Genomic DNA, 13,422 nt, shown 5'->3' on the forward strand with positions numbered 1-13,422 from the left:
TTTGAACGTCCTTCTGCTGCCAAGACAGAAAGCACATGGTGTGCCCAGATGTGCATTGGAGGTGACTGAGGAAGGGCTGGGAAGCTGACAATATCCAAAAATCTAATGTTGTTGTCATACAGGGAGATAAACAGGGCTACTAGAAAATAGCTTATCTGACCCTTTGAGAAAATGTAGAGAGAAGAGTCCAACCCAGGGCTGTTTGACCACAAAGTCTCAGGATTGCTGAGAGAGGGACTCTTGCATCCACAGAGCCCTGGCCCTGCCCCACTGCCCTCCCTCGAACCCAGCTTCTGACACCCCCTGCCCCGTCATCATCACCCACTGCTGTTTTCTCTACCCAGCCTGACTCAGCTGCCCTGACAGATGGGGACCAAGGCCAAGGAGGGCCAGCTGGGCTCCTCTCTTCCAAGAGATGGCAACTCCAGCCCTGCCCTCAGGAATGTGCTTTTCTCCCTGGCACTGGCTGCTCTCCAGGCCTAAATTCAACCCTGTTTTTAGCACAGAAAACCAGGCCAAATGCCACACCCAGTCTCAGCATACGAAGCACCTAGAACTGACACTGTGAGCTCTGAACTCTTTGTGTGTGTGGGGCGGGGTGAGGGGGAGCAACATGCCCGGACAGGTAGTCAGTGATTTTTAAGAAAGATGGAGGCGAGCTTATACCCAGAGGATTTTTCCTTCCAGTGTTTAGTAACTGTTTGGCTGTGACTTGCTAGGAAGCACTCATATTACATCAGTCCAAAAGAAAGTTTAATTGAACACTGATGAATAAGACACTGTGCCATGCACACTCTTCTATTTCTTTTGATTCTAGTTGAATGTATAAGATACCCATGTTGATGAATAAATTGATTCACAACCTGAGAGTGTCACAATCCCCATGTTGGAGATCACTGCTCTACCCTGCAGCTTCAGGAGAGGGGAGGCCAGAAGGCAGAATGAGAAATGGGGTCGGGGGTGTGAGTGCTTATCTCATCCACCCATGACAGCGAGTGGGCCTGCAGGACTCTGGAAATTGCATGAGAATTTCTGCTCCATCAGCTTCCTGCCTGGTCTCATGCTCCCATCTCAATCCTCTCACCCACCCTCCTCCCAGCAGAAGGACACACGGATTTTCCTGAATCACAATCTGATCACTTCTATCCCCTGCTTAAGACCTGTCTGTAGCTTGAGTACACTGAGAAGAACAGTTCTCACCAAGGCTCATAAGGGGAGGTGGACAGGGGAAGCGATGGGGATGGTGGGAGCTTCCCTGGCCTTCCTGGACACCCCATCCTCTCAGCACCTCCACATGTTCAGCAACTGGGAAGTTCAACTCTAGTTTTTCAAGAGTTTTTATAAAGTTTGGTCCTTATCTCCTCGCCATTGCCACTTTTCTTGGAAGTTGGTGGGTGATACTGAAAGTTTCTACCCTCTAATCCTCAAATCTTTTGGTCTTTGTGATGACTGGCATGATACTGAGGCTACCTGGGGACCCTTCCCTAATTCACATTTTTTTTTTTTGAGAGGGAGTCTCACTCTGTCACCCAGGCTGAAGTGCAGTGGCATGATCTCAGCTCACTGCAACCTCCGCCTCCCAGGTTCAAGCAATTCTTCTGCTTCAGCCTCCCGAGTAGCTGGGATTACAAGCGCCCACCAGCATGCCCAGCTAATTTTTGTATTTTTCGTAGAGACGGGGTTTCGTCATGTTGGCCAGGCTGTTCTCAAACTCCTGACCTCAGATGATCCACCCGCCTCGGCCTCCCAAAGTGTTGGGATTACAGGTGTGAGCCACCGCACCTGGCCCCTAAATCACATTTTTAGCATGAACTCAGCTGGTGTGATCTGAAAGAGTCTCATCTGGAAGAACAAAAGACATTCCTATCACTCAGGAAATTCCAAGTTTAGCTTCATGGTAGGAACAAGAGTCAAAGAACAAACATTTTCATGTTATAGCACACCCAGTAAGCCATGGGTTCATCAGATTGGACTCTCTTTGCTCTGCCAAATTGGCAGCATTTGTGAGTTACCAATCCCAAGGGAGGACTCCCACTGCAGGGAGGATGGCAAAGGTCACCACTGCGCTAACCACCCGGAATAGGGGTCTGAACACTTCAGCCACCGCATCTTGGGCTGCACTCTGACTACACTGAGCGTGGTGAACAGAACACCCACAGCCACAGCCAGTTCGACAAAGCAGGTTAATTACTTACAGACAGGCAGCGAGGGACAGCGGAAGCCTAGGCTGCATGACTGTTCATCTCTCTGTACGACAAGAACATTCAATTTTTGGATATTGTCAGCTTCCCAGCCCTTCCTCAGTCACATCCAGTGCACATCTGGGCATACCATGTGCTTTCTGTCTTGGCAGCAGAAGGACATTCAAACTGGTCTCCCGGGGCTCAGGAGCACTGCCCAGGGCAGATAGAGTCTCCCATGCCTGCCCCACTTGCACCACAGCTGAGGACTCAGCAGTGAGCTCTGGGTTTTAGATGTGGTGGACACGCCCTGGGCTAGTGTGGCAGGACACCCCCTCTAGGAGGGATGGGAATGAGGCCAGGGCTGTCCTGGGCAGTTTCTCTTTAGCTCAAGGTGTTGCATTCTCTCGGAGGAATAGAAACCAAGCTTGGGCACTTTCAGGCAGTTCCTCCTTACTCAGGATGGTGCATTCTTATATAATTTGGCTCTGTCTTGCCACACAAATCTCATCTCACATTGTAATCCCCATGTGTCAGGGGAAGGATCTGGTAGGTGATTGGATCATGGGGGCAGTTTTTTCCATGCTGTTCTCCTGATAGTGGGGGAGTTCTCAGGAGATCTGATGGTTTAAAAGTGTGTAGAAGTTCCCGGCTCGCTCTCTTTCTCTCCTGCCACCATGGAAGGCGTGCCTTGCTTTTCCTTCACCCTCCAGCATGATTGTACATTTCCTGAGGCCACCTTGGCGTGCAGAACTATGAGTCAATTAAACCTCTTTCCTTTATAAATTACCCAGTCTCAGGTAGTTTTTTTTAGCAGTGTGAAAATGGACTAATACACATTTCTACTGTATTCTACAGTGATTCTGGGAACTGTGGGCAAGAAGAGAGGCGGGAAAGCCAGAGCCATCCAATGCTTGTCTTCTGGTGCCCTCCTCCAGGAAGCCATTCCTGGTGCCCTGGGCGCTGCTCCCAGCCTTGCTCACCCTGGGTCATCACCGTTTTTGGAGGGGTCTGTGTCCTCCCCAGACTATAAGACCCAGAAAAGCAGGGCCTGGAGCTAAGTCACAGTCGTGTCCCCAGCATCCACTGACACAGAGTAAGTGCATAGTGTGTGCTAAATGAATGAAAGAAAAGTGAAAGCATGATGAAAGCCCTGTGTTCAGGGTGTGTCTCACTCAACCTGTCTGTCCTGTCATGGTGACTTGGTGAGAATTGTTGCCTGAAGGTCTTTAAAGCTCTCTCCCTTCCAGGGCTTCCGCATGGAGCTGCTTCTCAGCTGTGCCCTATGGGGTCAGATGCACTGGGGAAGAACTAAGGCTCTTCTCCACAGCCCACCTTTTGTCCCCTTAGCCCTCCCAACATAGGACACACCATGTCCAGGGCTGCAGGAGCCCAGGCTGTCAACAGCATCAGCATCCTGCTAGAAGAGGGTAGGGATGGCTGGTACTCAGAAGAGCCTTCTAGATTCCTAAGTTTATTAATCCTTTCACTGCAACTACTAAGAAAAATAGGTGTGACATTATTACTGGGTTACACACAGTCACACACACACACAAAAAGCGAAAGCAAAAATTGTCAAGAATATGTCAGCTTCCCTCAGGGGAGTGGCTTCTTCAACTTTGATCCCAAATGACTTATTTCAGAGGAAACCTCTCCCCTCTCCTCAGAACAAACACATTCACACAGGAAGGGATTAAATTCCTGCAAAGAAGAAGAAGGAAAACCTTCCACTGGTCCTTTGGTCTTAACTATCCTGGGCCATAATGTATTTGAGAGTCCAGTAATGACTGTGGATTTTTTTGCTCAAAATATCACAGATGATTGCCAAACATTGTGAAATGCCATTGAATTGCACACTTGAAAACACACACATACACATGAAAACTTAAGTAAACGCATATACTTAATTGTGGGGGCTGCAGGGGGGGAGCGGAAAGAAACATCCAGACATCTGGTGGTAAATATTCTGCTCTGGTTCAGCTAAAAATAAAGCCCTTTATCAGTTTGGTCACTGGAAGGACTTGTTCCCTTCTTGTTGATGATCAGAAACCTTAGCAGGAACTAATTCTCAAGTGTCTGCCTTAACAGAAAAGCCACAAAGAAACATGGTAAGAGCGTGGCAGATAACATCCACGGTGCTATCGGGAGGTGACAGGTGACTGACCTCAGCCTTGGTGTTCAAGAAGATTCCAGAAGGTGGGTGACATTTAAGGGAAAAATGAAAAATGAAGAGGGATGGGAGAATTGGAGGCAGAAGCCAGAGAGACATTGTGGTTCTTCCAAGGAACTGTGCTAAGTCGAGGGCAGTGAGAGCCAGGGAAGGTGTATTAATCAGGGTTCTCTAGAGGGACACAATTAATAGGGTTCTTTAGAGGGACACAATTTATATATATATATGAGTTTATTAAGTAGTATTAACTCACACAATCACAAGGTCCCACAATAGGCCATCTGCAAGCTGAGGAGCAAGGAAGCCAGTCCATGTCCCAAAGCTGAAGAACGTGGAGTCTGATGTTCGAGGGAAGGAAGCATCCAGCACGGGAGAAAGACGTAGGCTGGAAGCTAAGCCAGTCTAGCCTTTTCACGTTTTTCTTCCTGCTTTATATTCTGGCTCTGCTGGCAGCTGATTAGACAGTGTCCACCCACGTTAAGGGTGGGTCTGCCTTTCCCAGCCCACTAATGCAAAAGTTAATCTCCTTTGGCAACACCCCTACAGACACACCCAGGATCAATACTTTGCATCCTTCAATCCAATCAAGTTGACACTCAGTACTAACCATCACAGAGGGTGTGCATGATGTGGAGGTGGACACTTGGCATCCAGCCAACTTCTTCAGGACTTTCTGGTCTGCAGAGGCTGGAAGCTTCACACTTTCCTTCCCAGAGGGCCTTGCAGGTGGGGTTCTGGATACATTTGAATCTCTGGTAGCACAGTCATTGTGTCTCTGGGTGTATCCACAGTAACATCTCACATCCAAGCAATAGCTCTGAATGGCTGAAAGGCTGTTCCAGACACAGAAATGGCACCTGAATCTTGAGTCTCAGCTCAGCAGATTGTTCTAGCTTCATTCCTGGTTGGCAAACCCTGGGGCCTCTCCTCCAGCCTCTCCTATGACATGGAGGCTCTTAATTCACTGGTCTGCATCATACGAAGGATCCTGCCAGAGCAGGGATTAGGCTTTGGTCAACAGAAGCCACCTTGCAGGGAGCTTCTGAAATCCCAACATAGTGTTTGGAGAAAATGACTCACACAGACTCCTCCTTGTCAGCCAGCAGCGGACAGGCCTCTGGCCTGGGGAAACCCGGCCTTCCTTCTACATACCTGACATACCTGCACACCTGAAATTCCACCTCATTCCTGCCTGTTTCCTAGCAGGGCTTCCCTGAGGGCAGATGGAAAGGCCACTCCAAATCTGCCAGGAGGGAGATTCCTTCTATTTTTTCCTGGCATAAAAGGGCAAGCAGTGGGGGAGCTGCTGACAGCTGGAAATGCCAACGTCCTCCGGGGTTTCACATTCCGGGTTTCACATTCCAGAAGCCAAGATCTGCCAGCCCTGCCTGTTCTCTCACCCCGCTTCCTGGATCCAAGCAAGACACGGGCTGAGGTACTGCTGCTGGTCAGTGACGCAGGCCAGGCAAGAACCCAGGTCTCCTGACCTCTCACCCATGGGCTTCCCAACTCCCCAGGCCTGGTCTCTCTGAGAAAGGAAGACAGGCCCTGTTCACAGACACTCCTGAATGATACCCAGGTTCTCGGGCCAGGCTGGCAGATTTTGGTTCCTGGAATGTGAAACCTCTGAGGACTTGGCATTTCCTGCTGTCAGCAGCTTCCCTACTTCTATTGTACAATAGTATAATATGATCGAATGATAGAATGATATTCTACCATTACGTGGAATACACACAGTTCCAATAAGAGTGTCATAAACAATCTAGCACAGCATTCTGGTTAGGGCACACTGTCCCATTTCTTAATCCATTTTTTTTTTCAATTAAAAAATAACATTGCTTATGCCCAACTGATGGTTTTCCATGTTATCAGCACGTCCTAATCTGTGTCCTGGAAAACAACACTCTACCCCACAGCAACAAGGCATGGAGGCCAATGGAGAAGACAGGGAGATGGTGCTGGAAGCAGGGTCTGCTCTTCCCCTGGGGAAGGTGCGTGCTGAGCACTCTGGTATTTATCATGAGATCATTTCTGCTGCAGCCTCTTCCCTTGTCGCCTGCCTCCAGAGAGAAGCCCCTGTCCATGCTCCCCAGAAAGATACAGGATCTTCCACACACACAGATCTGACCACATACATCCCCTGCTGGGAATAACCCTGGGGAGAATGGCTTGTCCATACCAGGTGTGGCCTGTGAACTCACAAACTGAGGAAATCCTGCAGAAGCTGGGAGGGGCCCACAGAACTGACCCAAGACAGCTTCTTCCCCTCTGTTTTTTCGTCCTGACCCCAAGATGGCTCTTCTGTGGGGAAATCACACACCCGACCCTCTGAAAAAGCACGTTAAGGAAAAATGTCCTTGAAAATCTCAGGAGGGCTGTGGAATTTCTCCACCACCAGAACTTCACAGTGACAATGACACCAAACACAAGAACGACAATAACCAAAATCAGGAGTTTTATTCTCCTACCTTCTCTCTCTCTCTCTCTCTCTCTCCTCTCACTGTCATGAACGTCACGAAGACACTGACTTTGCATTTTCTACTCAGCACTGCATCACCAGTGTCTGACACAAAGCCTGGGACATGTGGGCTTCCAAGTGGACCTCTCCTGGATAAATGACCATTAATGAAACAGAGAAGGAGTTGAAGAGCCCCCAGAGGAGTGTGAGTCCCAGGGGTCCCGCCAGCTCCACTCCCACCTTCCAAACCTGTGAAAGTCAGGTGCCTGAGTCGCACAGTCTCTCCCACCCGAATGCCATGAGCTGCAGGTGAGTGAGCAGTTACTGCATCCTGGGCCATGGGCTTGGGTTGTGAAGTTAGGACCTGATTAGAGGATGTCAGGGGTTAGCAATGTACCAAGGAAAGTGGAGAAAGTCATAGCTCAATGGGATCCTGTGGAATCACTGTGTGGCTGTGTGAGTGGGGGAGGGCGGTAACTATAGGAGCATGCTGCACCTTCCTGTTTGCCAAAGAGGGGGCATGTAGGACACAGAAGCGGAGGGTGCACCACTTCTCCCTGGGTTCTCAAAGTGTCTGAGATCAAATCTACTATGACACATACCCTGCCTGGCTCCTTTACTGCCCAGCGACCCAGCCTGTCTCTGCAGGAGGGCCAGACATGCCGTGACATCACCAGCTCCTCTAGGAATATGGGATACAAGGAGTGGCTGAGATCGGCTGATCACCAGCTCACTCCGCTGCAGCCGCCCCAGAGCAATGGCTCCCCGAAGCCGTGTTCTGGGTAAGGAGGGGAGGACCCCATTCCCAACCGAACCCATCTCCCATCTCAGCCACCACCAGGGCTCGCTCCCCACCCCAAACTCCCTGTTCCCTCATTCTTGTTCCCATGCCCAGCCAAATCTCCAGGCGTGAATTGCTCACAGCAATTCCCCATCCACAGCGCCCGGGTCAGCCCCATCCACAGCCCTGTTTCAGTTTCTGAACTGCCCAAAGCCATACCGAGCCCTGGTTCCACCCAATCTTCTTCTAAATGTCAGTGCCAGTCGTATCTGTGGCTGTCCACTCACCCCATCTTCCCCTTCCCTCTCCCACAGCTGTCTTGGCCGCTTTCTGTTTGTGACTCTCCCTGCCTCCACTCCCCCCACCACCCCATGAAATGATCTCATTTGGTCATTTAAACGGAAAACTAAAAAGTTTTAAGTGACTCTAGGAGAGCAGGAGAGAGGCAGGTCTCCCAGCTCAGACCCCGCCCCGGGACGGCCCCACGGAAGATGCACATCTGGATGTAGGCGCTCAAGGCACCGCGCGTGCGCCGAGTGGCCTTGCTCAGCTCCGTCCTTCTGAAACCCGGAATCCTCATGTGTCTGGGTCCCGCCCCATCCTGGCCTCCTACACCACTGGTCCAGATCCTCCACCTTCCCCCAACGCGAGGTATTGACATCAAAGCATCACCTCATCTGGCACAAGAATCTGAAACACAGACCGCACCTTACACCAACGTAGTGAATCCCTCCTTGGACCTGAGTTCAACAAGCCCAGAGTCGGGGCTCTGGGTTCCCGCCCAAATGCCACGCATGCACACAGATGGCACCTGGCGTCTCCTCAAAGGGACAGGAATCCCGGGCTTCCCAGAATCACCAGGTCGATTTAAATGGCATCAGATGAACTGGAAAAGAATGAAAGTGCTATTGCCTAAAGTGATGAAATTTTCAGAGGATGTATCGGTCCTGTCTGGTGGACAGACGGCCACCAGAGGGAATGAACCAGTCTTCTCTGAACATCCATGAGGATGAAGAACAGTCACTGAGGTGACGGTACCAAGTCACCGGCCACCTCCCAGGGATCCTCTCATCCGGTCCTCACAGCAGCGCTGCATGGTCGGACCTCATCACCCACATTCCACCAAGAGGAAGCTGAAGCCCAGGGCCTTCATCCACTCATGTCCTCCAGACCCCTGGCACCCATCCTGGGCCCCACCCCATCATCCAGGCCTTGGGCCTTCGACCTGGGGAGAGTCCCTGTCTCCTCCATGAGCCGTCCAGGGCCTGAAGAGGTATCCAATAAACAAGAAAGCAGAACACAAAGAGCTGTGATGGAGTGGATCTTATGTAGTAAGAATAAAATTATTTTGAGAAATTACTGGGTCATGTATTTACCCACAGAAAAACAGAAGCAAACACACGCGTGCGCGCACACACACACACACACACCACACAGGCTGTCACGTGTCCTCAGCACAAAGTGCCTTGAGAAAGGCCATTGCTGGCCCCACACTTATCCTGACTGTGATCTTGCTGTGATCAGCACATCCCATCAGTGTGGCAACAGGTGTGGCCAGAGTGGGAACCAGGCCTTTTCTTCAGATTTGCTCTTTGTTCCTGAATAGCCACCGTCAGAACAGACACCCTCCTAGGAGTCACTTGATTAAAAATTTCCTTTTGGATATTTAGGTTGATGTTTTATCCATCGGTTAAAGTATAAATGTATATTTATTATAAAAGTGTAATTATGGCTCTAATTAATGATTATGGTGAATTTTACTAACTATAGCTATGAAAATATTCCAATAGATAAAAACAGTGCTAAAAATGTACAGTTAATCCAAGAGTGGTAACTTTAAGTCTTGTAATTTTTGATCTAATAAATCTTCATAAAATATACATGATCATGAAGTACATCAGTAGAATTAATCCTAATATTTACAGCAATACTTGGCGTGCTGTCTCTCATAAAAAATAACATTAATAGTAAAAAAAAAAAGAAGAAATCGGCCAGGCACGGTGGCTCACGCCTGTAATACCAGAACTTTGGGAGGCCGAGGCAGGCAGATCACAAGGTCAGGACATCGAGACCATCCTGGCTAACACGGCAAAACCCCGTCTCTACTAAAAATACAAAAAATTAGCCCAGCGTGGTGGCGGGTGCCTGTAGTCCCAGCTACTCGGGAGGCTGAGGCAGGAGAATGGCATGAACCCAGGAGGCAGAGCTTGCAGTGAGCCGAGATCACGCCACTGCACTCCAGCCTGGGTGACAGAGCGAGACTCCATCTCAAAAAAATAAAAAAATAAAATAGTAATAAAGAAATGATGAAATTTAAAAATTCTATTTAATTTTGGGTTGTTTAATTTTCATTTGGGGCATGACTATGTGAAGTAATAAATTTTGTTTGGGCATTAATATGGGATGACCTATGTCTCCCCCTAAATTCATGTGTTGAGGTCCTAACCCCAGTATCTCAGAATATAACTGTATTTGGAGATAAGGCCTTTGAAAAGGTGATTACAGTAAAAGGTCATATGAGCAGGACCTAATCCAAGCTGACTGGTGTCCTTATAAGAAGAGGAGATTAGGGCACAGACACACACTCAGCGGCCATGTGAAGACACAGGGAGGAATTGGCCATGGATAAACCAAGGGATAGACCCTCAGAAAAAACCATCCTGCCAACACTTTGATCTCATGCTTCTGCCTTCCAGAACTGTGAGGAACTGAATTTCTCCTGTTCAAGCCACCCCTCTGGTGCCCTTGATTATGGCAGTCCTGGGGGATTAACACAGGCAGAAGGAAAATGAAGGATGCAAGAGTCAGAGAAAGGAAGAAAATGAAATGTAATTTCTCCTCAAACAATTTTCAAAATAATGGACTTTGGGAAAACACTTTCAGGAAATTATTCTAAACTGGGTGTTTGACGTTTTATTCTAAACTGGGTGTTTAGTGTTTTAAGTGTTTTGAAGTTTTTACTATTAATAGAACTATTTGAATAGTTGAAGAGGAAACATATTTGAAACCTGATGATATTATGACTCCTGGCTAAGGTTCTGTAACCAATGGAAAGTCTTGACTGTGAGTTGTCCAGGCTCTTGGCATGTTAAACAAAGAATTGAACAAAAATCACAAGCAAAACAGCGGAAGAGGAAGACATAGATTTATTCAAGTGAAAGTACATGCCCCAGAGTGGGAGTGGGCTCGAGCAAGCAGCTCAAGAGCTCTGAGTGTTGGTAACCCCCCTGGGGTACCATTTAGAGGCCTCCAATTGGTTGCACCCTATGCAAATGAAGGATTTGGTGCGTGGCCAATCAGAGACTGAAGTGGAGTTACATCCTATGCAAATGAAGATTGATTGGCGGCCAATCAGAGGCTGAAGTGAAGGCTTGGCCCATGGCCATCAAAGGCTGAAGTTCTCCCTTTGGTTTAATTCCAAGAAGTCAGCCGTGGGTTGGCCTTAGGCTCCTTGTCTCCAGACCCTATTCTCCTGCCTCAGTTCCTTCTTTAGAATATATTACTAATAACTGCCTGGGAATGATATTGCCCTAGACATAGACACTTGAGTGACTTCCTGCAATGTAGCCTTCTAAGAGAGTCCATCCCTACAGCATGTCCACAGGCAGTGTGAGGCTTCAGGGGTCCCCTGGCAGCTGGCAGCACTGAAGAATGAGTTCAAGCTTGAAAATTGACTGCTAATCACAGCAACAATAAAACTATTATTTTTTAAAAATCTGATAACATTCTAGATTCATCATTTTTTGCCCCAGTTTGTTCCTTGGTGGTGATATTCACCTTAAGCCTCAGGGTCTAGAGAAAAGAGAAGGTCTCTCAGGAATTTTAGCATTAGGGTAAATCTTACAAATGGACATTTGCCAGAGAGTGTAGGGAGCATTTGGAAGCCTGGCAGCAGGGCTGAGAGGATGAGAGGGATAGGAGAGAGAAGTGAGAGAGGAGGCACATACTCCAGGGAGGGCCTGGGAATGTGCTGCATAGCAGAGGCAGGAAGGGTACACAGAGAGAGTGGACAGGTTCTTGTCTGGAAACCCAGAGACACAGAGCACAAGATGGGTAGCCAGAGCCGGGGTTTCGCCATATTGCCCAGGCTGGTCTCCAACTCCTGGCCTCAAGCCATCCACCCACCTCGACCAAACTGCTGGGATTACAGGTGTGATTCACGACGCCGGCCTTTTTATTAATTTTTAAACCACTTTTTCTTCAAATTTGGACTGGAAAGTGAGATGAGTCACTGAGCTGGCCTTTTGATTAATTGTTTTATGGAATGCTTCATGAATTTGGGTGTTATTTAAACCACGTTTATGTCAAATTTGGACTGGAAAGTGAGATGTCTCTAGGATACCTAGAGTAAGGTCTTACTTGACGGTCGTCAGAAAAACACAGCCAAACCTCTTCAATATTCTGTTACAGCTGATTGGAAAATGCTGGTGTTATCATTGTTTTTTCTGGTCTCTTCAAAGTTAACCCCACTTTGGAAGCAACTAGAGCCTTGTATTGGGAGAGTCCTAATCTACCCATCCGCACCACTGGTGGTTGTATAGTGGGGACAGGTGGGCTTGGAAAGTAGTGGAGATTTGAACAGGGCTCAGGCCGTTTGGGATCTCATGTTGTAGGACTAGGGTTCAGGGAGGAATGACACAGGCTGCTTGCACTAATACATGGTTTGTTTAACAATGGTTCTGGGCCCTGGGGTCCCTGCAGAACTCCCTGATTTCAGCCTCCTGAGGGCTCATTCAGACTTCTTATTCAGATCTGACTCTGTCACCCCAGGATATGTTTCTTACACATTTCCCAGAGCTCTCTGTATCCCAGGGTGGGAAACTCTCAAGTTGCATCCATCCTCACACAACGAGCTGCCAGGATGAATGGGGCTCTGTCCGTGGTGCTGAACATGTGCCTCGCTGTGTGCTGGTAGGTAGATGAGTTGTCAGGCAAAGGCAGAAAACATATGAACATCAGAAGACAGGCGTGGAGTGAGGTGCCTCCCACCATCCACGAGTTTCCATTACTGGTTTCCTTTTAAGCTATTCATTGGGTAACAAATTTGCTTGTCATCCTATATCGCCAAAGTCATTGTAGAAAACATCTTTCACAGGCTTTTCACACAGGCTAGGAAGGGACACTCAGACCATGTGTAGACTGTTTGCTGAGTCAAATGTCATCCTCTGCCTCCTGGTTGATTCTTTTTTTTTTTTTTTTTTTTTTTTTTTTTTTTGAGACTGAGTCTCGCTCTGTCGCCCAGGCTGGAGTGCAGTGGCACGATCTCTGCTCACTGCAAGCTCCGCCTCCCAGGTTCACACCATTCTCCTGCTTCAGCCTCCCAAGTAGCTGGGACTACAGGCACCCGCCACCACACCCGGCTAATTTTTTGGATTTTTTAGTAGAGACGGGGTTTCACCATGTTAGCCAGGATGGTCTCGATCTCCTGACCTCATGATCCACCCGCCTCAGCCTCCCAAAGTGCTGGGATTACAGGCGTGAGCCACTGGGAAGTTTCTCTTCATTCATTCACTTCTTTATAGATTGTCCCTTGAGGTCTTGTGAATCCTTAATTTTTCAAGACTAAATACTTCCTTTTCTTTCGTAACACATAGTATCTGATTTTCTGGGAAACTTTCTATTTGACAAAATGGGACTGGGATGTCAACATGAATTCTCCATGGAAAGGCTGATCTCACTGATTTAGAATTTGTGGTGGTTCTTGTGGTAAGATACCTGAAGAAAATATTGCTCTTATGTGACATTAAAAAAGAAAAATGTGACACTTAAGGTGAGTAAAATGAAGGTGTGTAGTTCTCTGCTCCCTGGGCATTAGTATGTAGGAACTGGATGC

General features: G+C 48.2%; 1 protein-coding gene and 1 long non-coding RNA gene across 14 annotated transcripts in view, besides 3 other annotated features; both read left to right on the forward strand.

The window, feature by feature from the left end:
- The window catches only part of IGFL2 (IGF like family member 2), a 136,850-nt gene extending 127,381 nt beyond the window's left edge, over nucleotides 1–9,469 (forward strand). For 4 of the 13 annotated variants that reach the window (XR_007066610.1, XR_007066611.1, XR_002958269.2 and 1 more), the window contains 4 exons: nucleotides 3,039–3,276; nucleotides 4,269–4,376; nucleotides 6,897–7,117; nucleotides 7,904–8,945. The gene's annotated coding sequence lies outside the window, so the exon portion shown is untranslated. Of the gene's footprint in view, nucleotides 1–3,038; nucleotides 3,277–4,268; nucleotides 4,377–6,222 lie in introns of all 13 variants that reach the window. The other 9 variants (XR_002958257.2, XR_007066607.1, XR_007066612.1 and 6 more) reach the window with 7 other exon arrangements.
- On the forward strand, nucleotides 4,349–8,945 carry LOC93429 (uncharacterized). The gene is made up of 6 exons (NR_027003.1): nucleotides 4,349–4,376; nucleotides 5,716–5,785; nucleotides 6,223–6,341; nucleotides 6,897–7,117; nucleotides 7,436–7,590; nucleotides 7,904–8,945. It is a non-coding gene; the product is annotated as an uncharacterized LOC93429 (long non-coding RNA).
- Nucleotides 5,379–5,673: a silencer, noted in NCBI's record as "tiled region #8129; HepG2 Repressive non-DNase unmatched - State 10:DNaseD, and K562 Repressive non-DNase unmatched - State 7:EnhWF". NCBI's record gives its function as "represses a minimal TATA promoter and a strong SV40 promoter by Sharpr-MPRA in HepG2 and K562 cells {active_cell/tissue: HepG2 | K562}" and the evidence as "EXISTENCE:reporter gene assay evidence [ECO:0000049][PMID:27701403]".
- Nucleotides 5,379–6,372: a biological region, named in NCBI's record as "Sharpr-MPRA regulatory region 8129".
- Nucleotides 5,494–6,372: an enhancer, noted in NCBI's record as "H3K27ac-H3K4me1 hESC enhancer chr19:46714644-46715522 (GRCh37/hg19 assembly coordinates)". NCBI's record gives its function as "activates a minimal SCP1, AML or CMV promoter by ChIP-STARR-seq in naive H9 embryonic stem cells {active_cell/tissue: H9 hESC(naive)}" and the evidence as "EXISTENCE:reporter gene assay evidence [ECO:0000049][PMID:30033119]".

This window comes from Homo sapiens, chromosome 19 (genome assembly GCF_000001405.40).
Source record: "Homo sapiens chromosome 19, GRCh38.p14 Primary Assembly".
NCBI classification, from domain to species: Eukaryota; Metazoa; Chordata; class Mammalia; order Primates; family Hominidae; genus Homo; species Homo sapiens.